The sequence below is a fragment of the Homo sapiens genome, chromosome 2, assembly GCF_000001405.40.
Source record: "Homo sapiens chromosome 2, GRCh38.p14 Primary Assembly".
Lineage (NCBI taxonomy): Eukaryota > Metazoa > Chordata > Mammalia > Primates > Hominidae > Homo > Homo sapiens.
Genome location: NC_000002.12, coordinates 37,616,169 through 37,641,080, shown reverse-complemented (window position 1 = coordinate 37,641,080; position 24,912 = coordinate 37,616,169). Strand labels below are relative to the sequence as shown.

Here is a 24,912-nt window from a genome sequence, read left to right as displayed (position 1 = left end):
GCTGGTATTGCAGTCCCTGGGCTGAACACACTGGGCAGTTGTCCCACCAGCTATATCCCCGGGAACTTTTTCTTTGAGACAGAGTCTCACTGTCACCCAAGCTGGAGTGCAGTAGCGCAATCTCGGCTCACTGCAACCTCCACCTCCTGGTTTCAACTGATTCTCCTACCTCAGCTTCCCAAGTAGCTGGGACTACAGGTGCTCACCACCATGCCTGGCTAATTTTTGTATTTAGTAGAGGTAGGGTTTCACCATGTTGGCCAGGCTGGTCTCAAACTCCTGACCTCAAATGATCCACTCACCTTGGCCTCCCAAAGTGCTGGGATTACAGGCGTGAGCCACTGTGCCCAGCCCCAGGAACTTTTTTTTTTTTTTTTTTTTTGAGACGGAATCTCCCTCTGTCACCCAGGCTGGAGTGCAGTGGCGCCATCTCGATTCACTGCAAGCTCCGCCTCCCAGGTTCACGCCATTCTCCTGCCTCAGCCTCCCTAGTAACTGGGACTACAGGTGCCCACCACCACGCCCAGCTAATTTTTTTTGTATTTTTAGTAGAGACAGGGTTTCACCTTGTTAGCCAGGATGGTCTTGATCTCCTGAACTCGTGATCCTCCCTCCTCGGAACTCCTTTCAATCCATCTTTTCCCAGGCTGGCTTACACTTTGAGTATCCCCAGGATTAAGGAAGAAAGCTCCCCAGGAAACAGAATCCAAATGTCATTGAAGAGTCTCCTGGGTCATTAGAACCCAAGAGAGCCAGGAGTTATGGCTTACAAAGTAGGAAAAACAATTCAATTGAGTAGAAACAAACAGCCCTGGAAGTTCTCTCAAACTCCTTGAAGTCCAGACTCATAGAACTGAGGCTCAGAGAGGAGCAGAAGCCCCAGACTTCCGAGGACCTGCCTCTTCCCAGAGGTGACGTGTGGACTGTCCACCCCTCAGGGAAACTCACAGTCTCTCCCAGGGTGAGTCCTTACCCTACAAGGCACATCAGCAAGATGGTCATTATCAGCATAACACATGGTCCCCAACGTTTGCACCCCAAATACCCACAAAAGTACAGATGGTTCCCGACTTAGGATGGTTCTTAATTGAAAACACATTTTCTACTTACATTTTTTAACTTACAATGGGCTTATCAGGACGTAACCCCCATCATAAGTCAAGGATCATCTGTAGTGAAAAGATTCTTTCATTACATTTGGGTCTCGAAAATCCCAACAAAGAAACCCTTTGAGGTACTGTGTCCATAGAAAATTCCCATCTTTAAGTCCCAGGAAATGTGCATTAAAACTCCAAAGGATGTCATCCTTATACCCATGGGCAGCATTGTTACAAGTGAAATAGGCAGAACTTGTGTGACCCTAGAAAAACAGTACTGCTCAAAACAATTTCTTCTACACTCAGCTGCCCCAGGGCTAGAAAAATCTACCCTTGGAGATGGGTTCCTTTTTAGGTGAGGCTTTTTCTATTAGGCATGGAGTCCCCTTAGAATAATTCCAGGAGTAACAACATCTGCAAGCCACCAACAGTGAAAAGTGAACTCACTTATCAGATGCCCACTGTGGGAGCACAAGTCTCTAGCAACTGGCCTGGGACCAGGTAGCAAGAGAGACCAGGAAAAACATGAAGAGTGAGTTCATGTAATGCATAATTTTGCCTGGGACCAAAGAAAAATGGGCAGTGATGAGCTTTTCTGAGAGATTTACCTGAGAGCAAATGTGGCCTTCACCAGAAGAGATAATGAAGGTTATTGTTGGCCGGTCTCCCTAGTGCCAGAAGATCACTTGTAATTAAACCTAATTTTGAATCAACCAAATTAGATGGTACAGGAGATTAATATAAAACTCTCCATAACTGACATGTTTCCATACACCCTACAGGCCAGAAGGCTTCAAGACAGTAATGCCTTCGATGCCAAATGCTCATGTTTCTAAGTCACTGTCTGGTCTTTCCTCTGCCTCATCCCCCACTCTTAACAGTAGCATCTTAATGACATGATTGCATTGAGGAGATTATTATTTTCTCCTGACATCTCCTTTATAAGTTCTTTCTGCGTTGTAAGGTAAACCATTAGCAATGCCCCAGAAACAGATGAAACTTCAAAAGGCTTGAAACGACATTAAAAATTACATATTGAGTTTTTCAGAATAAGCAGTAATGTTCAGACACAACTTTGTACCGTAAGCAGGGGCATTGTTAAAAGTAGGAAAAGGAAATTGGTAATTATCTTCCAAACCTGACTCCCATTTCATGAAAATGAAATTGGGATGGGACTAGAAGCAAGAAACAAAACACCTGTGGTGCTCTGGAAGATTTTTCCACCATAAATGGCAAGAAGGAAGAACAGACAAACACAATCTTAGATTAGCAGCCAATAAAGTCCTCCCATCCTAGTACCAGATCATGGCTCCTATGACTAAATAAAGCACTATTTGTGAAGCTTCAGTAATCGCCCTCTTTTTAAAAAAAAAATATAAAGAGGTAGGTTCACCGTTGATTAAAATTGCTCATTTTCAATACATCTGGCACTCTGGACTTCACAAACATGTTGACTATTCATCAGGTACCTTAGGTAACTGAGAGGAAAAATTGTAAAAGTGTCACGATAGCAAAACACAAGAAGCAGACCTGGTTGTATAAGTCCAGGGAAAATGGGACCTTCTTACCAGAGCCCACACTCCTGAAGACTCTTCTAACCAGAAGTAAACAAAGTATTCAAAGTGAAATGGCTTCCGGGAGTGGGATGCCCACCCCTCTTAACCAGCCATGAGATAAAAATGCATGGGAGAAACTTCTTCCAACCCCTGGATCATCTGAAACCTCACCTCCCCAGGGAGACTCCTTGGCTCCCTAGTCCCCAGCCCCTCCCCTCAGGCGAAGGTCATGTGGGAGGACAGAGCCAAGGCTCTAGATTATGGTATGAAGGGTGTGATCTTGTCTGAACACACCCAGCAAAAACATCTTTGTGTCTCCTGCCCTTGCAACAAGGGCTCTTTTTGTAGGTCAGCTGTTAAACATCAAATGATACATCATTTGTTTAAACATCAAATGATATATTATGAACAATACTCCTGTGGCTGGTGGAATAATGGCCCCCAAGATAGGAGATTCTAATGTCTGGAACTTATAAATGTCACCTTATTTGGTAAAAGGGGCCTTACAGATATGATTAAGTTAAGGATCTTGAGATGGGGCATTAGTCTGGATTATCTGGGTGGACCCTAAATGCAATCACGATTGTCCCTATAAGAGAGAGGCAAAGGGAAATTTGACCAGAAGAGGAGTAGACAATGTGACCACAGAGGATGGATTGATGCATCCAGAAATCAAGGAATGCTGCCAGCCACCAAAAAGTGAAAAAGGCAAGGGACAGATTTCCCCCTAGAGCCTCTGGAGGGAGTACAGCCTTGCTGACAGCTTGATTTCGGCCCAGTGACACCGATTTCAGACTTCTGGCCTCTAGAACTGTGAGACAATAAATTTCTGTTGTTTATAGCCACCAAGTTTTTAGTAATTTGCTAAAGCAATTATAGGAAACTGATGCAATACCCAAGCACTGGAGAGAATACAGAAAAATGGAAAACGTTAAGGATAATGAGGTGGACTGAACTGTGTTCCCTTAAAATTCATATGTTGAAGCCCTAACCCTCAGTGTGACTATATTTGGAGCTAAAGCCTTTGAAGAAGTAATTAAGGCTGAATGAGCTCATAAGGGTGGGACCCTAATTGGATAGGACTCACGTCCTTATAAAAAGGGGAAGAGACATTAGGGATGCACACACACAGATGAAAGGCCATGGGAGGACACAACAAGAAGGTGGCCATCTGCAAGCCAAAGAAAGAGGTCTCAGGAGAAACCAAACCTGCTGGCACCTTGATCTTGATCTCCAAAACTGTGAGACAATTAGTTTCTGTTGTTTAAGTCACGCAGTTCATGGTACTGGCAACTGCAGCCCTAGCCAACTAATACAGAGGGTTAACAGGGAAGACCCCCTTGAAGAGTTAGGTTCTTTAAGGAGATAAGGCCAGGATGACCCCACTTCCCAGGACTTTAGTCTTCCCTTAAGGAGTTTACACTGATTTAGTGGTGCTCTGGCTGGTGACAAGGAAGAGGAGAACATTCCAGGCAAAGGATCAGCAGGAGAAAAGTCTAGCCCTGCATTAACATTACAAGAAAGCATCTCCCACTACCAGAGCACAAGAGAAAGCTGCTTTCATGTGGCACAGGTTCAAGCAGGGTAACAGTGTCTAATCAGACACAGGTGTGTTGCCTGAGCCCAGAGGCTAAGTAGACTACCTTTAGGAGGGTCACTGTCACTCACAGTTGATCACTGGGGCATAACTTTAATCAAGCGTATGCATGGTGGGCAGACTTAGGGGAGACGGGGGGAAATAAAATATTTAAAACATGTTTTGAGGCTTGTTTCCAGCCCCAGACAGCATTTGATATGGGCAGAGGCCAGATTCAATCCCTGTCATCCAGATAACAACAAAAGAGAGGCAGAAAAGACTGTAGAGAGGATGCTTCATTGTTGCTAGGGAGATTGTCTTCCAGGAGCTCTTTGCCTAAGAAGTGTTTCTTCCACACAGATGCCAGGCAAAGTTAAATAGGCCTTCCCAGTATGCAGAGGGCAAATTGAACAAGAGGCCAGAGAGTTTGCTGAGACCCAACAGTGATGCGGGGGGCGTTTAAATACCATTCAGGAAGCCAAGTGACAGAGAGACAGCCAATGTGCTGGAGGTGGGGCCCCATCAGGCAGTGCTTCCCATATCATGACAAAGAAAATTATGACATTGGGACAGCACCATGGGGAAATGAAAGGGCTGTTGTGGCTGGCCTGGGCCCCACCTACCTGCCACAGGTGCTGAGGGTACAATGCCTCAGTGTCCTCATAGCACATTTGACACCTAAGGTTTGTATTGTGGGAAGCCTCTCCTCAGAGTACATCATCTCACTGGCCCCTGGCTATTTACGGGACTACCCTGTAGCTCTCCTGAGGGCTCCGAGTCCTCTCTGAAGGCACAAGTGGGTGAAGGAGTGGGGATACCAAATGTCGCACCATGTGAGACATGACTGCCCTGGTGGCAGTGGGGGTGGCAGTGAGTGGGGCACAGCAAATCCTCCACCTCTAACAGGGGTGATGTGGTTTGGCTACATCCCCAGCCAAATCTCATCTTGAATTGTAGTTCCCGTAATCCCCACGTGTCATGGGAGGGACCCAGCAGGAGATAATTGAATCATGGGGGCAGTTACCCTCATGTTGTTCTCATGATAGTGAGTTCTCACAAGATCTGATGTTTTTATATAAGGGGTTTTCCCCCTTTGCACTTCTCTCTCCTGCTGCCACGTGAAGGACATGTTTGCTTCCGCTTCTGCCATGACCATAAGTTTCCTGAGGCAACCCCAGTCCTGCAGAACTATGAGTCAATTCAACCTCTTTCCTTTATAAATTACCCAGTCTCGGGTATTGCTTCATAGCAGTATGAGAACAGACTGACACAAGAGGTGAATAAACCCAGAGCAAACCCAGAAAGGCCTGGGAGCCCCAGGAGCCAACTGGTGATTTAAGAAAGAGCAGAAGTGTTCAGTGTGACAGAGATAAGAGAAGGAGTAGAACTGAGACTCTGCCTCTGACTACATGACAACAGTCTTTACCAGTCTCACTGACTGGGGGCTTCTGCAGAGAATATGCTCGAGTCCCTACCTCTGAAAAACAAACACAGCCCTGCCTCAAAAACGTGAGCCACTTCCACAACCTCGAAAGGGGCATTTACACCAATGTCTCCATTTGCTCACCTCACATTCACTGAGTCACTTTCCTCCAGATCTACTGCCACCGTTCACTGAAGCTGCGCTCAGCAGTCACCAATGAACCACCTTCCTAAAGTCACAGATGTTCCCCACCCTACCTCCCTTTCTTCTCTTCTCTGCAGCACTTGACTCTCCAGGGCACTGCTGCTCCTCTCACTCCCTTCTCTCTGGTTTTCCTTCTCTCCCACCAACTACACCACTGTGAATCCTTCCCGGTTCTTCTTCGACTACTGACCCCATTGCTACCACGCACCCTAGGGTCATTCTCATTCTTCTGTTTGGTGATGTCTTGTTTCAGAGCTTCAACTGCCATCTATTTTCTGATGACTCCCACATCTCTATCTCCTGCCCAAATACAACTCCTGGGCTTCAGACCTGAATATCCAGATGAGCCCTGGACATCTCTGCTTGTTTGGCCTGCCAGAACCCCAAATTTACCATATTTCAAATCAAGTTCACCACCAACAAAAATATGCTTCCATCCTCCTTCTCCTGTGCTTGTGAGTGACAATACCATCCAGCCAGCTTCTCAGGACAAAACCCGGGAAGTGACTCCTTTTTCCACACAACCCTCTTCTTTTGCCTCCTAAATATTTCTCATGTCCAATCTCTTTTCTCCAATCCCACTGCCACTGACTCCATTCAGGCCCTCATCATACCTTGCTTCTATTATATAGCAACAGCTTCCTAACTATTTCACTGTCTTTAGAATGACCCCTGCCAATGTTTTTCCTTTTTAATTTTGAGTGATGGGCTCTAAAAATATTTTTTAGATACTATATTTTAAAAAATATTTTAAGCTTCTCTAACTGAACATCTAAACCCATAAAGTCCCTAATTAACAACCTTCAGAAACTCTCCTTTACCATACAAAGCCCAAATTCCTAAACAGGTATACAAGGCCCTCCATGAACTGTTTGTGCTAGTGGCACAACCTGGATGTAAAATCCAATGAATAAATGAAAGTCAAATACTCACTCTGCCCAACACCCTAATATGAATTAGGAATTCAATTCCACAAAGAAGGTGGAATTGAATCTATGCTGCTAAGGGTAAAGTGGGTTAGCTGTATTAGTCTGTTCTCATGCTGCTAATGGAGCAACATAACAGAGACTAGATAGTTGATTAAATATACAGGAAAGAGGTTTAATTGACTCACACTTCTGCAGGGCTGGGGAGGCCTCAGGAAAGAGAATCACGGCAGAAATGGAAGCAAACACACCCTTCTTCACATGGTGGCAGCAAGAAGAAGTGCAGAGAGAAGGAGGGGAAAAGCCCCTATAAAACCATCAGATCTCATGAGAACTTACTATCACGAGAACAGCATGCAGGTAAACACCACCATGATTCGATTACCTCCCACTGGGTCCCTCCCATGACACATGGGGATTATGGGAACTACAATTCAAGATAAGATTTGGGTAGGGACACGGTCAAACCATATCAGAGGAGGAAAGAAGATAAGCATCCTTGCTCCTGATTGGGGCACTTCATTCAGAACTTCTTCCTTTAAAATGCAACTTTCTTAGAACAGAGATCACTTCTCTCTTTTTCCTTCCTGGCAGCTGATAGGATAAGATTGGATGGAGGCCTCCTTATGGTTGGAAAGCGGCATCCTCTTTTTTCCCTCTGTTAGAAAACCAAGCAGGAACCAGGTAGAGTCCAGGAGAGAACATCCAAAGATGGATGTCATCTCAATTGCTTCCGAGTTCAGAGGAGGCAAAGGGTTCTTACATCTTGCCCACAGATTGACCCAAGTTCATGACCTGGAACAGGCACTTTTGTGAGGTGTCAAGGACAAAGCCCTAGCTGGTAATAAACAGCATGTTCTTATCCTGGAGTATTCCTCAGGAAATTACTGTGGTAGCAGGAAACCAGACAGGATTTGGGTTTTTAAAACCTTGCCTATCTTATCTTTGTAGATGTGACTAACTAGTAGGTCTTCAAACTGCCCCCAAGTAGGCATAAACCTTTGGGTCACCCAACATTATACTGGCTCTCCTAAAAAAAAAACATGTTATGTAGCCCTAATAACCTAGAGCTCCATGGGGACTGATCTCAGTGCAGTTACAGTGAAAAAACAAACAAATCAAGATGTAGCAACAAAGAAGAATTAAAGCATTTAGAATATTTATATTCTTCTCTTAAAGAACTCCAAAGAAAATCCAATTCATAATCCATAGCTCTGCTAGAATTTTCCTGGGGGGTATGGGGAAGAAGAGGAAGAGGGGCTATGAAGACTTATGCATTAATCTTTTTTATCTATTGTATTGCATAATAAATTTGTCTATAATCACAAAGAAGGTCTTTGCCTTAAGTCCTTATTCCCTCTCACAGTTATTGTAAGAGCCTCTGATTCCAATAGTGCCCACTCTTAAGTCACCACCCTGACTAAAGGTCCTTATGAGGTCTCCATAGCTAGGAGACAAAGTCCAAACAAAGTCTTGAAAATGGCACTCAAGTCCCTTCGCCTTCTGGCCTCAATCTACACATCCCACGTTACTTATGCCACCAGCCACACACATTTAGCTTCCCCCTCATTTACCATTGCAGAACTCCCCAAATACCCGTCTTTTCAGCCTTTCTGTCTTTGCATGAACTCCTTTTTTACTAACCCGTTAAAACCTCTGTCACCTTCTCTGTGAAGCCTGTGTTAGAATCAGTTGTTCTCTCCTCTTGGGCTGCACTGCACTTTGCAGAGGTCCCACTATTCAGTGGGTCCCCCACAGTGATACAATCAAGTCCATCCTCCTGGTGAGAGGGCACATTCCTCCAACCTGACTCCCAGCCCAGCACAGAAGCTATTGCTGAATGAAGGATGAAAGAATGAATAAACAGATAAAAAGCAGAGACTAAAATTAATGCTTACCAAAAACTAATTTTTTTTATTAGTCCACAAGAAATGGCTTATCAGTAGTCTTTACCAGGTACAAGAAATGCCATAAATTCTGAAAAAGAGTTTTGAGAAAAGAACAAAGTACTATATATTTTGCCAGTGTATTAAAATGATAGAGACTAATAGGACTGAAACATTTTTAAGAAATATATACTTACAAATATGTCTATGGATCTGGATTATTTTTCCATATTTACAAGTTTTAGTTATTTACCTTATAAAAGAAAATAGCCCTATAGAAAGTTATTATCATTTGCTTCAATAAGATACAGCCATTATAGGCTTTTAAAATGTTGTTTGCTTAAAGGACGAGAATGTGATTTGGCTCCTGCAAGCACTTAAGAGTTCTGAACAAGCCTAAACAAACATTTTTAATCAGTGTTAGTGCTTTAAGAAATTTTTAATCTGCCACTTAAGAGACACTAATGTACAAATTGGCAAAAAAGAAAATAAAAACCTGTCACCTTTCCCACACATTATCTAAATGTGCTAAAGCAAATGCATTTCAGATACCCTGCCCTGCTGTGCATGAACACATAATAGGATAGGACGTCATCAGTGACTGAGCGTATCTCCTAATTGGTGTCATCAGCTATTTCTAGGACAGCCAAATAGTGTCAGAGATAAAGAAATATAAATTATCTGTGAAAACAAAGAGGTACGACATGTAAAAATTGGATGTAGTACCTCCTGATCCAAAACAAAAAAATGGATCTTAGGCTACCCAAATATTTTTAAATGATATAAAATGTTATTTTAGGTCAATAGCTTTCTATAGTCAGAATGTGGACATACGGGGATGAATTATGCCTGGCACCCCCAGTTATCTCATCCAATGCTGCAGCTGTCACAAACCACAGGACACTTGATCCATAGGCCAGTAAAGAATCAAGTTCTAACCACAGACACTCAAGAGCGCACAACAAGGCATCTAAAAGAATTTCCACTTGTGCCATTCTGGGCATCTTGATGTCCTTAGCATACTGTAACCTGATTATCCAGACAAGATTGAGAATGAAAGCAAGTAATCCTGGACTGACTCTCCTGTATCACATATGTAGCCCTCTATTTGGTGAGTATAGTTACTAAAGCCAAGGACAAATTCTGTGTAAACATGCTGCTTGTACGTTAAAACAAAATGTTTATCAGTTGTGTGTATATATGATATGTGCATAGTGTATATGTATAGAGTGTGTGTGTGCACGTGCATGTGTGTATTACAGTGTGAGAATGTCTGAAAGGCTAAGACAGGCAGATGACCAAAGAGACAGAGAGAAAGGCAAAATTACCTGCTTGGAAAGAAGTTGAGGGCTACAAATATTACAAAGCATAAAGTGATTTTTGAAAAGAAGGAAAGAACACCCTAAACGAGAAAAAAAAAAAAAACATGGGAAAGCACCAACGTGAAGAAAGACAGGAGAAACTGCAAGTGAAAGCAAGAGTGACTTCATAGAAAAGAAAATGAGGTAATACCAAGCAGGGCATCTTTATGGTATGTGTCCCTGGAAAATATTTTCTGCCAAGTCCCTGTCTGTATAAGGAATTTGATTTAATGTTTTACAAAATTCGTAGGCCTATCTGAGTCATGATTTATCAATGAAGATTTAGAATAATGGGTAAAGAACAGGTATTTTTGTATTTGCTTATTGTTCAATCAGTGCAAGGGAAGATTTTTTCATAGTGTCTAGGCACCATCACTTTCTGTGCAGATGCCAGAATCCTCTTTGTGTTTTTTATTGTTAGATGTGCTAATTCCACATGTCTCACTGGGAGAAAAGGGTTGCAATGCTGTTATTACAACACTGGCTCTTCAGCATTTGTTTGTATTGAAATAACAGCTTTTCTAGCCTCTGGATTTCCTTAATATCATTTATTTAATGCTGGTTATATCATCAATCATGATGTTGTGTCATCCCTGCTGCCACCCATGAATCCTGGCTTCCACTGATGCTCTCAAGGGAGGGCGGTTACTGTGTTTTGGAGATGATGACCACAAAGTCAAGTCTTGCCCAGAATATGCAGGAAAATGTGAATGTTAATTCATTTTCTGAGAATGTTAAATTCACTGTTTGAAATTTTATAGCATAAATATAGAAGAGCATATTTTCTGACCATATCTTCTCTTGAACTCCCTACGGTAATTCCTGCATTCCTAGAATGTGATTTCTTTTAATGTTGACAGCACCTTTGCCTTCCACACACTTTCACCATGGGGAGGTGGGGGAAACCCATGGGTAGAAAAAGAAGAGTGGTCCTATTTGTACAAGAAATGTCCACGTCTCCCCAACATGGCTTAAGCACAGAGGGTTCATGTCAACACATTGACACAGGCAACACATCGATTGGAGGGCCTCAAGCAGGAGGGTCTGCTAACATTGCAGAACAAGTGTCAAATGTTCTTTGGGGACAGACAATGCTCTGGAGGAATGCTCAGCGATGGGGTTTGACTTTCCTGGTGCTAGTGATGGGAGGGGTACAGGGGAGAGGGTAAGTGACACCACCTTTACTACCTTGGGGTGCTGTAGAATGGAAGCCACTATTTATTCAGACATGGAGAGGTGAGACCTGACACATGGACCCCACATATGGCTCTAGTCAAGGGCCAGCAGTGGGCCATGAGAACCTCAGAGCCCTGAACGTATGGGTTTTACGTAAGTGAGAGTCATCAAAATCAACATGTCTGCACTTGCCTGGTGACTCAACAAGAAAAACTGGGCTATTCTGGGGAGCAGTGGCTCATCTGGTCACCCACCCGGAATCAGGGCCAGGTCAAGGATCCCAAAATAAACCCACAGATATGAGTCCTGGAGCTCCTTGGGGCATCAGATCAGCCCCACATGAGGGCTGGGAAGTAGAGATCAAAGAGCAATCCAAAGGGCAGAAATGGGGACTAGGATACTTACTGGTCCCAGCTCAGGGTACCCTGCCCAGATGGCACTGCTACTCCAGCTGTTCCCAGAGAAACTTTGAGAATGTTGAAGGAGGCACTCCAAAGCATGGGAGGCCCTGAGATGCAGGGCCTAGGACAGACACCCCGGGTCCAAGGCCTGTACTGACACGAAGGATGACCAGCCACATCTATTACCAATGGGAAGAGTTATGGAGGAATCCGAGGTACAGGGCAGTTAAGCAAACTGTCCAATATGCAGTTACTAGATGGTAGAATCTGATCTGAACCCAAACAGTCTGACTCTAGGGCCTGTGCTCTGTGCTATAAATCTATCTAAAAAGATGATAGACTTTATAGTCAGACAGTTCAGGATTTGAATCACTACCCTGACAACTACCATTCTGTGACCTTGGGGTAAAGCAGAAATAACAGTACCTACTCCATTGGATTGTTTTGCAGGGATCAACTAACTTCTTCTGTAAAGGGCCAGATGGCAAATTCTTCAGGCTCTGTAGTCCATACAGTCTCTGCCACTACAGCTCAATTCTGTAGCATAAAAGTAGCCATAGACAATGCATAATTGAATGAGTGTTGCTGTGTTCCAATAAAACTCTGTACAAAAATAGAAGGTGGGCCGAGTTTGGCCCACAGGCCTTAGTTTGCCAACTATTTGTTTTGAGAACTAATTCAGATCATGCCAATAAAGGTTTTATAATAGTTACCTGCACTTGGTAAACATTCAATACATATTAATGCTCTTATTATACCAACAAAATGTCTATACTTTAAATTTGTTGGTTTAAGGTTCTGCTGTGCCTGCCATTTTTTAGTCTAATTATTTTATAGCTATATTGTACATACTTGAAGGAAAATGAGTGAATAAATGTTTCATTACTCAAATTCTTCCTTATTACTGTTATTTTCAGAACTTCTTAGCATTATTTTCCACTGAAAACCGTCATTGTTTTTGAAATATGTGAGTCAAAGGAGCTAATGTCTTAGTGTAACTTTATGTTTTTAAAATAAAATGTTTCCATTCCTTCATATTCCTATTTCAGTAATATAAAATAATGGGATTTTATATGCTATAAATCAATTTTTTTCAAATCTAAACATTTATATAATGCATAATCAGCTTCATCATCACTTATTAGTGATTCCCAGAGTCATTTATAGATAATATTGTTTACTGGGAATCTACACAGCACCTTTCTTTTGTGAGCAGCATTTCTCGTCTTTGGAAGATGATTTTTCCTCCATTTTATTCCTGTGGTTTAAAACAGCTACTATCAGTGTCAGCTGGTCCTGGGGCTGAGCACTGGGCCCAAGCTGTGAGCAGTGAGGGTTGGTTGCTTCTGCTGGTCTTGTTTTCAGCTGTCAGGAGGATGTCTGTCAGACAAAATGAAATCAACAAGTACAGAAAAGCAGAGGCCAGGGATGGGGAGACAAAGGCTTAGGATCATTGACTCCTCATCCAGATTATTCCTAAGGTCCAGCCACAACCCTATGCTCCCATGGTTTGGTTATGAGAGACAACAATTCCTTTTCTGCCTAAGTCAAGTTTCCTTTTCTGACTATGGCATCACCCTTGAGTGATGTGAATCACCTCCAGTTGGGTTATCCCAAGGGAAACTTCCTCATCTGCTTCTCACCAGATGTGTGGGTTTGGCATCATAGAAAGTAACTTCTGGAGAACAAAGCTCACTGGAGGGCAGAACTCAGCTCAGTGTCTTCCACTTCTTTCATCCAGAAGACCAGATGGAACCAACTGGTTCAAGAAGAAGATGACTTTAAATGACCAGGCATGGTTTTTGCAATTATCTTTTATAACTAATATAATTGGGAACATTGTATTCAATTAGAAAAAAAAAAGGAAAACTGTAAGTTGTTATAACTGGGCTAAGAGATATCACGGATCATCTCGTAGCATGTGGTCTATACTCAGGGTTTTGTAGTAAAACATAATTTTAGGGAAACCTAGTAAAGAAGAAGTCACAGAACTCTGATTTTTTTTTTAATTGGTATTTCTCCCATGGTTTTCAGGGATTCAACACATGGTCATTTGGTAAGCAGATAAATATGACTACACATTTGGGACAATAGTCCTAGTTCTCCCTGTATCCCCTGAGCAGATTGCTGATTTTTAGAGATTAACTTACTAGGTTTTCTTAAAGGTGAGAAGAATCCAAATATATTTTATCTGCTGTTAGGCAGCAGTTGTGAGGGAATTATCAAGACCTCTTGGGGCCAGAGACGTGGGGGTTCAATCTCTGCCTAGACTATTTAAGTAGGCTACTCAAAATGTTCTGAGCCTCAGTTTCCTTTTCTGTACATTGAGATGGTGAGATTATCTGCTTCACAAGGATGAACGAGATAATATATGCAAAAGGAAGGATATAGAATATTCTTAACCACTTGGCTTTAAACAATCTTCTACAGTGGACAACTACCTTGATTTTCTAACCATCCAAGGGCAACAATCATTCACATATTAGTATGAGTTCACCAACTTGTATGCTCCTTCTGGGATTAGCCCTGAGGAAATAAATGGACACTCTGACGAGGTGGGTGTTGGGATTATTTTTGGAGGTGGGGTACAGAAAAAGGGAGGAAGAATTTGATGGCATTCCAAAGGAAGATAAAATTGGACATTTAGAGAGTAGGAAAGAGGCATCTATCAACAGCAAGAATGAGGGGGTTGTAGAGGAAAGAGCCCTGAATGAATATAGGAGAAAAAGTTGGAGTTCAAAGAACAGCTTCATAGTTTTCTAAGAATGAACTCTGGGGACTCTGCTCCTGGCACTCCAAAAAGCCATTACGCTGTCTCTGTTTCCCTCACGACCCAAAGGCAGGCAAGAATTCCTGTCATACCCTCCAATCATCAGTGTATCTATGGCAGGAGAAAGAAAACAGAGATTAGAGGGTCTTACCTGGCTGAGATCCATCTCACCACAGCCACACCTGACCCAGAGAATTAGTAGGCCATGCTCAGGGCCAGCTGCGGTCTGCCAAGCTGCAGAACAGATGCTGTGGGCACAGGGTTTCCTGCAAAGCACCATTGTACCTCTCTGCCAGGAAGTGCCTTTGAAAGGCAAAGAAACAGACCAGACACCTAAGTTCATAACTAACAAGCGTCTAATCCTCGCAGTGGCTTGCTTGTACAGCTGGAGCGGGTGCGTGTGACATCTCCCCCACCCACATGCTTGCCAACCGTAATACTCAAGGAGAACTGTTTCATGAAGGACGCAGAAGGGAGCCAAACACCGCCAGAGACTTTTTACAGAAACAATTTGAGCATGCCCTTCCTCTCGGGAGTGCTTGGTCCAAATACATTTATCTTGCTAATATTCCTCTGTCAGACTAAATTTCAGACAACAGAACTCTACTTTCCAGAATCTTCCACATTGTAACTGCCTATTAATTACCTCTGCTTTGTCAGCTGGCCTCACACACAGGGCCTAAATGTTTAGTCTGCAGTTTGTATAATCATTCTTCTGCTTCATAATTACTCTCCAGAATTACTTAGCTCTGAGGGCACCACCACAAAGTCTGTGCTTTTCATTTTCTCATAATGGCTCATTATCAGGTCTGCATCCGTAACGCCTTGCTCAGGGTTTGAAATGAATCTTTATATAGTACTGGTCCTTTGGGCAAGCTCCCAATTTTACAATTGCTTCTCAGGCCCTTCGGCCAGGAGCCAGGAGAGTGGGTTCTGGGGGTAATAAAGGATCAGAGATGCTCTGTTTCTACTGTATACATGGAAGGAGCTTCCACACATCCTGAGGCAAGAGGATGTCACCACTCCATTTTCCAAACAGACCCTGACCAAGCTGGAGTAATGATGAGCTTGGAGGAGTCTGCACCATGGCCCTGCACACTCACCTACCAGGCCTCATCTTGTGCTGGATTTCAGGAAGGATGGGCCTGCCCACTGGGAATGGACTCCTGGCTTCAAGGGAAAAGCAGAGAGGGAAGCCTAAGATGACTCAGTGGGAAAGGGAGATGCAGAGATTTTCACTGTGTCAGAGCAGGTCTTTCATGGTGCATGCAGAAGCTCCTGTCCCACCAATTAAGACCCTCTGGAGTCCAATGCACTAGCTATTTCCAGCACAGTCTCCAATTATTCACCATCCCAAAACCTCACATCAGCCAGCCTGGCTTACTCATCTCACTCTCATGGATCTTTCACCACCTCTGTGATTCCACTCATGCCTTCTGCCTGCCTAGAATGCTCCTTTCAATACTCAAATCTACCTCCTCCAGGGAGACTGTTTCCAGGAAGACTCAGAGAGGCAAATAATTTCTTGCCTCTCTGAAACAACTTCATACATTCCATGTATAAATTAACCACGCTCAGCTTTCTCCCTCCCTTCTACTGTTAAAGAGCCGTTCATATTTTTATGATTACTTGACTTTGCTTTGTTGATGTATTTTCCTCACAAATATAAGTTCCTTGAAGGCAAGGTTTGTCTTATTTTTCTCATCTCTCCCGGCATCAACAATACTCAAATAAAGTCTCTAATTTAGTTCATTTGCTGCATTGTACCCTCAATTTACATGTTCATTGCCCCTCTAGCAAAAACCAGAGTAAGAAACAGTGGATCTGTGATTCAGTCACTTTAGCAACATTTAGATGTTTAGTTCGTTTATTAATGTGTACTATAATTTTAAGAGTCACATTTGTTTTCTTACTCCTGTATTCTAACCACATGCCTACTACCAGAAGTATAAGAAAACCTTTTTTTTTTTTTCTGGCTAGATCAAGAGCCAACTTGCTCTTCACCCTGTGAAAAGGGGAATTAGTCATGGGTGCTGAAAAAAGGAGAACATATTCAAAGTAAATATCAGTGCATGAGATTGCTTTTCACTCAGAATCTGAACACCCACAGTAGCCTGAATTTGTAAATATTTGCTGTCACTTATGTTAAAAAATATTGACTTCCTAAGCTATATTGCTACCAAAATATTTCTTTCTCGCATGCCTACCCAGACTTTTGGCCTATAGCTGGCAACATACCCTCTGCCTTAGGTTAACCTCATAGCAAGGGTAAAGCTTTAAGTGTACTTATGTGGTGAGAGAGAGAGCGAGAAACTTGAAAAAATAAAAATGGCAACATACCTAATGATAAAAGCACTATTTCCAAGTGTCTGAAGCCTATTATATGAGTTAAAAGTGAAACATCAGCCTAACTAATGCAAAAGCTTTATAGGGTCTGAGCAAGGATGACTAATCTCCAAAGCTGACAGTTTCACAGCTTACACAGGCTTCGTTCTGCTCAAGTGTGGGGAACACCCACCATCCCCACCATAGTCCAGGACATTATGGCATTGTACACTCATTCTCAGAACTTCACAGGGAAGATTATGGCAAAACTGGAATTCTCACTGAGGACACATCACTCTGAGCCCAATTGCCCACTGTCCCGCCTTCCATCCCCCGACCCCTGTCTTCTGGCTCCTTGAGCCTGCACGATCAATGTTTATTTTCACGTTGAATCAACCTGGGTTCAGAACTTTGAGCTCCACAAAGAAATCCACTAACAAAACCATAAGAAACAGTATCTTCACAGCAGATGCTACGGAAGAGTGGGGAAGAGTGAGGTAGTTTACACTGCCTATCTTATGACCACTATTTATCCCATCAAGTGCTTCTGGTCTCCCTGAAGGCACCTCCTAGGCCACTTGACCACTGTGAGTTATTCTCAGAGCCTAGCCTCTATGTATTACCCACTTCCAAAGCTGCTTCCACATTTTCAGGTATTTCTTACTAGCAATAGCCCATCTCCTCAGTATCAATTATCTGTCTTAGTTCATGTTCTGTTGCTATAACAAAATACCACAGACTGAGTAATTTATAAAGAAAAGACATTGATTTCTCACCATTACATGGTGAGAGGGCAAGAGCATGCCAGCTCAGATCTCTCTTCCTCTTCCTATTAAGCTACCAGTCCCATCATGGGGACTCCAACCCTGATGACCTTATCTAATCCTAATTACTTCCAAAAGGCCCCATCTCCAATCAACATACAAATTTGGAGATTAAGTTTCCAACACATGAAATCTGGGGACATATCAAAACCATAGCATCTCCCCAGCTCCCCCTTACTGTGACCTAACCAAAACTTTTTATTTTCTGAAAAGCTAATTCTTCTTCCTTGTTCCAGTTGAATAAAAGAGCCAAGACTTTCTAAGTAACAGGAGAAGCCCTTCTTGTTGGATTGGAGGCAGAGGCTCCTGAGATGACTAAAAGGATTCAGTCTTGCTCCCTGCCTCTCTACCTGGTCCTTCTATTTCTACCTCCCAGCCCAGCTTGAATCTTTGCAATAGCAGTTGGATATGGCCATGTAATTTGGAGGGCTCAGTGTAAAGGGGAAATGTGGGGTGGGTCCCCTTGTCAAAAATTATGAACAATTTCAAGACAGCAGCCACAGCACATTAAACCAAACATGGGGCCCTCTTGAGCAAGGGGACCCTGTGGGACTAGATAGGTCACACGCTCATGAAGCTAGCCCCAATAGGAAGAGTCACAGGAATTGCAGCCATTTACATGAAATGTGTGCCATTTGTGACTAATTACTGTGCAGCAGTCACACTTGTACATTTCATAATTATGTAAGTGAAAATATGTAATCATTACACAAACACTGCTTTGTAATAATACAATGCAAGCTATTGTTTTTACTAACTGTGGGGTTCATCTTGTTGAATGGCATATTGACTACAAAACCAAACCCTGTTCATATGCAGACAGCCTTCAGGGTACCTGTGGCAGTATACCTGTTCACAAATTTTAATTTGAAGAGGCTACGAATGATGTGACTCGAAAAGGAATTGCCTTAATAAACCACACCAACCATGACCACCAGTAATGAATTCAGGAACTGAAAATAAATCTGCCATTTAATTCAGAGCAAATTAGCTAACTGAAATGATACTATGGGTCATATTAAAAGAGGTGGTTCTTCAAATTTTGGATTTTATAGACCAATAAAATCTCTAAGAAATTTAGAAAATGAACACGAAGTTGACACATTTTAATTTTGCCACGTAAAGACATCAAAAGCCATCAATTCATTTAAAAACGAACAATTATGTCAGAAAAATAACATTTTGAAATATAGTTCTGTAAGTTAAATGAATTTAGTATTATGAACAACTCACACGGTCGGTGTTTAGGTGAAAGCTTTTCCTCCATCAGCATACTGGGTAGACTGAGATTTATAAACTATAGGTCTAGGGGGCAGTGGCTACAGGAATGTTTATATAGAGGGCTGAAGTATTATTTTGCTTTAACTTGGATGATTCCTTAAGACCCATGGCCAATTCTCTGCTTTGGAGATGCAACTCATTTGGATATTGTCATCCAGATATCAGCTTCCCCTTTTCTTTGCTCCTCAGCTGCAATCCTGAGAGATTTGGTTAAACCTGGCCCAAACCCCAAATCTATCTCTTTGAACCCTGAGAAGGCCATCTCGTATTCTCTGAATAGCTGTGCCTTGGTTCCCTCTTTGTTTCCACGTTCCTATATTCACAAGGAATGGATAATTTGAGTCCATTCATTGTTTCCTTTTTTAAAAAAATCCATTCAGTTCAAGCACTTCAGGATTTAGTCAATGTCATTGAGATTTGCTGGGTGTGTGGTCTTCAGCCATCATCTTCAATCCACCTCCACTCTCCCTTTCCTCATCCTTATCTCTTAGAACAATAGCTAAATGCTCTTCCTCTTATGGTACAGCTTTGCCCCGAAGCAGATCCCTTGAGTATTTAGCATCTACGTACCTTCCAAATTAACAGGATTTTCTCCCTGAAGGAATTCTGGTGGGTTTAATGATTTCCCCATTCATCACTTATCATTAAGCAATTCCACATACAGAAACTTTCCCTGATTCCTTTAGCTTTCAAAGGTCTCCTGCTCCTCTGAATTTATGCAATGCTAAGGGTTTGCACCTACATCACAGAATCCTTTTTCCTGTTTATTTTGCTAGTGTTTCATGTCTATTTGTCATGATCCTCGATTAGGTTGTAATGTGTATGAGGATCAGGACAGTAATTCTTACACCTCTAGTCATGCATTCATTGAGCAAGCCTTTGGATGTCCACTATGTACCAGGCACACTTAATACAGATGGCAGCATGTCTCCTTGAGAAGCTTATAGCTTAGGAAGGAGCAGAAGCATATATATAAACAGATGAATTATAACACACTGTAGGAAATGCCATAAGAGTTGTGAACAAAATGCATAGGCACCTAGAAGAGGAAAACTACCAATAGAGCTGAAAAGAGCCTCTGAAAGATGCATAGGAGATCATAGGAGAGGGGTGTTACGCACGAGCACAGAGATATGAGAGAGCAAATCGTGTAAAGGATAAATTAAAAAGTTCAGTGTGGCCAGGGCTTGGAGCTTCTTGAGCAGATGGAAAATAATTAAAGAGGTTGTCAGGCAGGCTATAAAAAAGACTTCTGAATTTCTCCTAGCTCCTAGTCTGTTGCTGTGCCTAATAAATAATAGCTTGTACCTAAGAAATAGTATATCATGGTAGAGCACTGTACCATCTTCAGAGAACTTTTACACTTACGATTTTTGGTCTTAACTCTATAAATAAATGATATCTCCTTCAAATTTACGGATAATGAAATTGAGGTTCAGACAATTTTAGTGATGTGCTTCAAGTCACCCAGCTAAGTAACATCAGGTGAGACTCTAATCTAATCCAATTACCTCTTCTAATTCTAAATCCAAAACTCTTCACCACCCAGATCATGAGTGAGCAGGTCCATGACTGTCATCATTACACAGCCTTATAGAGTGAGATGCTGTATAACTTAATGAAAAGAGAATGAGCTTTAGAGACACAATTTCCAAGTTTAAGTCACTTACAACCTGTGTGACCTTTGGAAAGTGACAGAATCTGAGCCTCTGTTCTGTCACTATCAACATTACATGTCAAAGCTTCTTTATAGAACCATTGATGAGATCAAAGCATACAATCCCTCCATAAATTCACAATATGAATACTACAAACCTATTTTAAGTGACTATTCCACAGAGGAAATTTTAATTACATATTACCTTTCAAAAAAATAAATATAATTATTTTAAGTCTACCAAATATTTTAATTTTGGCCTAAGCAGTCTGGTGTACCCTTAAAGCCACTCATTCTTTCTTATTTTTCCTGGAATGTCATTTACAGGCTCAGCTTTATTTCTAGAATGAATTATAAACCCATCTACATATGAATCATTTGCTGTCCTCATTTCACACCACAAGTTCTATTTTGGGGGGTGGAGTGGGAGAATGGACAGCCATTACAAGCTCCTGTAAGAATTTGCTGTTTGCTCAGATAAAATGGCTCCTTCCTCCATGGCTTCCCTTTGAAAGAAACTGGTTGAGAAACACTCTTTTCCAGGATCTCTGTGTCATTAAACCACTGCCACTAGGGTGATTAAGGGTGGCAGGGGTGGGGTGACACAGGGAAATACCATGCAAATGTCACTCAGATCTGTCAACACCCACCCCAGCACTTCTGCAGGCCCTCCAAATCAGCCTTTTCTCCGAGTGTTGACTTCCAGAAAAATCATGCAATCAGCTTAAAATTTAAAATTACCTCAAAGACCAAAACAATGGTGGAGTTAACAGTGAAAATAAAATAGGGACCCCACGATGCACCAAAAATCACGTGATCATGTTACATTCCTCCAAAAACCCCCTCCCCAAACAACTGAGCTCTTCAATTAGTGCCATCTAGCATGGGAAAGGCAAGAAAAAAAAAATCACAGCTTACAGCCGATATTTTCCACTGAGCCAGCCACCCTCCCTTTTTTTCTTCCCTGAAGTTAATAGTGAAAGCTCTGTTTGTTTCACAATGCGTTAATTCTTGCTGCTTGCAAGAAATTATTTTTGGAGGTATCATATTTTAATATAAATTTCCATGAATCTTTCCACATGATTCCCTTGCATTGAGGCACTGCCCTCCCAGCCAAGCTCACCCAACAATGCCCACACTTCATACACCCTTAGGCCTGGGACAGGCCAAACACTGTGTTCACTGCCTGGACCACAGCCCTGGGTGCTGGTGGGGAAGGAGAGAACGTTTGCAACTGATCTCAAGTGTCATGGTGGTTTTCAGCTGGCAAAAGCATCTGAACATAGTTGTTGTATTTTTCATGCTCATGAAGGGATTTTCCAAAAATCCAAGCTATGTTTTGAAATCTGCATCATTATAGGGTATAGACCCTTCCCCTTCGTTCTTTCTCCAGCTCACTGCTTGCCAAATGGTTTGGAGCAGAACTTTTTGAAAACACAGCCAGAGGAAAGACCAGCTCATTTAGCCAAAGAATAAAACAAGAGGCTGATTAAAAGAAAAGTTACACTATATTATTTCACATTTTGATTAGCCTAATTATACCCAATTTTGTTTATTGACTGTTCTCCATTCAAAATACCAGAATTAGAAAGGCTGGCTGCAAATACAAGAGAATTAGTCTTGAGGCAGGAAGGCCCCTAAACATGCTACCTACTGAGCATTAAAGTCATTGACTAGTACCTTTATTTTTTTCCTTATGAATTCCAAGGGCTATCATTATACGAAAAAAAAATTTTTTTTCATTTTCTGTATACCATATTTCTATCTCTTGGATCGGGAACTTAGAATGATCAGTGTTTGAATTCACTCTTGTCATTTTATCAGGTTAGTCTGAGCTTCAGTTTCCTCTCCTATAACATGGGAATAAAACCAAGCTGATAGGTTGGGTTACTATGATGATTAAAATAATTTTGTAAAGCCTATAACACACTGACTAGCACATGGTAAGTGCTCAATATATGAAAGATATCATTACTATTATTACTAATGAGATAGACTGTTCTACTGTGGCTTCGCCAATGAATGACACTTCCTGATATTTACCCCTGGTAAAGTTCTCTCCTGCGTTGAATCTGGGCTTGATCATGTGACTTGATTTGGCCAATGAGACTTTAGCAAGCGAGGCTTAATATAAGCAATTGGAAAAGGGGTTTGTTTTCTTGGTTAAGCTCCCTCTTGGATCCCAGCTGCCATGTTGTGAGGAAGACTAGGCTGTTCTGCTGGAGAGAAGCCATGTGGAGATGCCCTGGAGGATGAGACACCACTCACAGAGGACACCTGGAGGAGAACTCAGGTGCCCCAGCTAAGCTCCCACTGATGCAGTCAACACCACAGAGAGCACAGGAACAGGACATGGAATTGTGAAAATCATTGTGATAACAAACACCTGGGAAGGGAAAAAAAAAAAAAAACACCAACCCCTGCCACCAACACACACACAAACTTAGAAGTTACCTTCTACCCAACTGATGAAGACAGGCAGGCAATACTAAGTAAGAGCATGGACTTTGGAGTCACAACAGCCATGGGTTGACTCAATTACAAACTATATGACTGTGGGCAGATTGTCTCTAAGCCTCTGTTTTATCATCTATTCGTGAAAATAGCAGCTACTTCATAGGGTTATTGTGAGGAGTTTAATCAAGATAATCCATATAAATATTTAGTTCTGTGCTGGATGCATGGCTAGTGCTTAATAAGTATAAGTGATATCATTGTTTTCATTAAGGTAGAAATAGAAGCATAGCAATGTTGTTCAAAATATTAGGATATCTCATTAAAAACAAGTTGGCAGAGGCCACTGCCCAACTTTTCGACCCGAAGGACGTGCTGAGCAGCTGAAGCCAATCATTGATATTCAGGTCATTTCTGCTATGGTAGCTAACTTAAACAACCATGATTGTGTACACTCCCTTCCTTTAAAGAAAATATTGACTTTGAGTTTTCACAGGTGCTTTCGATTTAATCACTGGGTCCTTTATGCAACCACCTGTCCTTGTTTTTCTTTTCCATGGTGAAGAAGTAATGCTAACTCCTGCAAACCTGAGTTTAGCTCCAGAAATCCAACCCAGGAGAGAAAGGACGTGAATTGCCCTTCGATGCACGTATTATTCCATTCTCACACTGCTATAAAGAACTGCCCGAGACTGGGAAATTTTATAAAGGAAAGAAGTTTAATTGACTCACCGTTCAGCATGGCTGGGGAGCCTTCAGGAAACTTACAATCATGGTAGAAAGCGAAGAGAAAGCAAGACACCTTCTTCACAAGGTGGCAAGAAGGAGAAGTGCCTAGCAAAGGAGGAAGAGTCCCTTACAAAACCATCAGATCTCGTAAGAACTCACTCACCATCACGAGAACCGCATGGGGAAAACCACCCGCATGATTCAGTTACCTTCACCTGGTCTCTCCCTTGACACATGGGGCTTATGGGGATTACAATTCAAGATGAGATTTGGGTGAGGACACAAAGCCTAACCATATCAACCCATAATGAGAAAAGTTCATCAGAGCAAACACATCAAAACCCAAGTTGGGGGATATTTAATTTGCCATGTACCATTAGGGCAGTAGGCACAGTTTCAGCCCTAATCAAAGGCCAGGATTTTACTAAAATCCAAGCATTCCTGGAACCACACAGTCAAAAGGAAGGGGAATTAAGAGACTGTGTTAAGACAGAGGCCTCCAGCAAATGCAGTCAGTGCATATTAGAAGGCACCTGAAAGATACTACTTGTTTAAGAAATCAGGCTTAAGCAGAGGTAGTCATAAACCGCAAACATCTGTTCCATGGCTCATAACCTTGCACATCTTAGGGGAAAGCACAGTGTTACCACTGCTGGCAGCATAAGCCTGCTGATAAGGAATGTCTGGATGTTTTTCAGGCAAATACACTATTCTCTGAGTGATTTGGAAACTTTTTGTAGGGAATTCGTAAAATGGGTTTTTCCAAAATCCTAGAATAGGAAGGATTATTGAGTCGATATTCACAGCCCTTATTGTTTTGCTTGGAATGTTTAAATGCTTTAGAACTTACTCCCTCTGTGTAATTCTTGTCTATCACAATTGGGCCATTTGCTGAACCCTGTGAACTCCTGGCAGGCAGATCCTGTGTTTCTCTAAGGCAGCTCCTCCCTTCTCCCTTCCTCTTGGTAGCTTCTGTCCTGCCCTGGCTCCTTCTGCCCAGTAGACCCTTTCTTATGTCTGCATGTCAGCTCACATGAACTTCCTGAAGTCCCAATCAATATCCCTGGGTACACAGATTGCCAAGGCAACCTCTGCTCAATTCAAAGTCACCCAGAATACTCTCAGTCTAGCAAGTGAAAGGGGAAGATGTGGCTGGCTTAGAACAAAAATAACAGAGAGGCTGGTACCACCAAGCCTCTCTATGAAGCCAAAAATCCTATAAAAAAAGGAAAAGATGACGTGGATGCTGTGACTGCAAAGAAGAAG

General features: G+C 42.2%; 7 annotated features.

Moving 5' to 3' along the window:
* Positions 5,188-5,417: an enhancer, noted in NCBI's record as "active region_15595". NCBI's record gives its function as "activates an Ori minimal core promoter by ATAC-STARR-seq in GM12878 lymphoblastoid cells {active_cell/tissue: GM12878}" and the evidence as "EXISTENCE:reporter gene assay evidence [ECO:0000049][PMID:35858748]".
* Positions 6,950-7,019: an enhancer, noted in NCBI's record as "active region_15594". NCBI's record gives its function as "activates an Ori minimal core promoter by ATAC-STARR-seq in GM12878 lymphoblastoid cells {active_cell/tissue: GM12878}" and the evidence as "EXISTENCE:reporter gene assay evidence [ECO:0000049][PMID:35858748]".
* Positions 7,040-7,239: an enhancer, noted in NCBI's record as "active region_15593". NCBI's record gives its function as "activates an Ori minimal core promoter by ATAC-STARR-seq in GM12878 lymphoblastoid cells {active_cell/tissue: GM12878}" and the evidence as "EXISTENCE:reporter gene assay evidence [ECO:0000049][PMID:35858748]".
* Positions 10,947-12,146: an enhancer, noted in NCBI's record as "CDK7 strongly-dependent group 2 enhancer chr2:37856078-37857277 (GRCh37/hg19 assembly coordinates)". NCBI's record gives its function as "activates an origin of replication core promoter dependent on BRD2, BRD4, P300/CBP, MED14 and CDK7 cofactors, with strong dependence on CDK7, by STARR-seq in HCT116 cells {active_cell/tissue: HCT116}" and the evidence as "EXISTENCE:reporter gene assay evidence [ECO:0000049][PMID:35650434]".
* Positions 11,335-11,384: an enhancer, noted in NCBI's record as "active region_15592". NCBI's record gives its function as "activates an Ori minimal core promoter by ATAC-STARR-seq in GM12878 lymphoblastoid cells {active_cell/tissue: GM12878}" and the evidence as "EXISTENCE:reporter gene assay evidence [ECO:0000049][PMID:35858748]".
* Positions 11,395-11,484: an enhancer, noted in NCBI's record as "active region_15591". NCBI's record gives its function as "activates an Ori minimal core promoter by ATAC-STARR-seq in GM12878 lymphoblastoid cells {active_cell/tissue: GM12878}" and the evidence as "EXISTENCE:reporter gene assay evidence [ECO:0000049][PMID:35858748]".
* Positions 15,626-15,895: an enhancer, noted in NCBI's record as "active region_15590". NCBI's record gives its function as "activates an Ori minimal core promoter by ATAC-STARR-seq in GM12878 lymphoblastoid cells {active_cell/tissue: GM12878}" and the evidence as "EXISTENCE:reporter gene assay evidence [ECO:0000049][PMID:35858748]".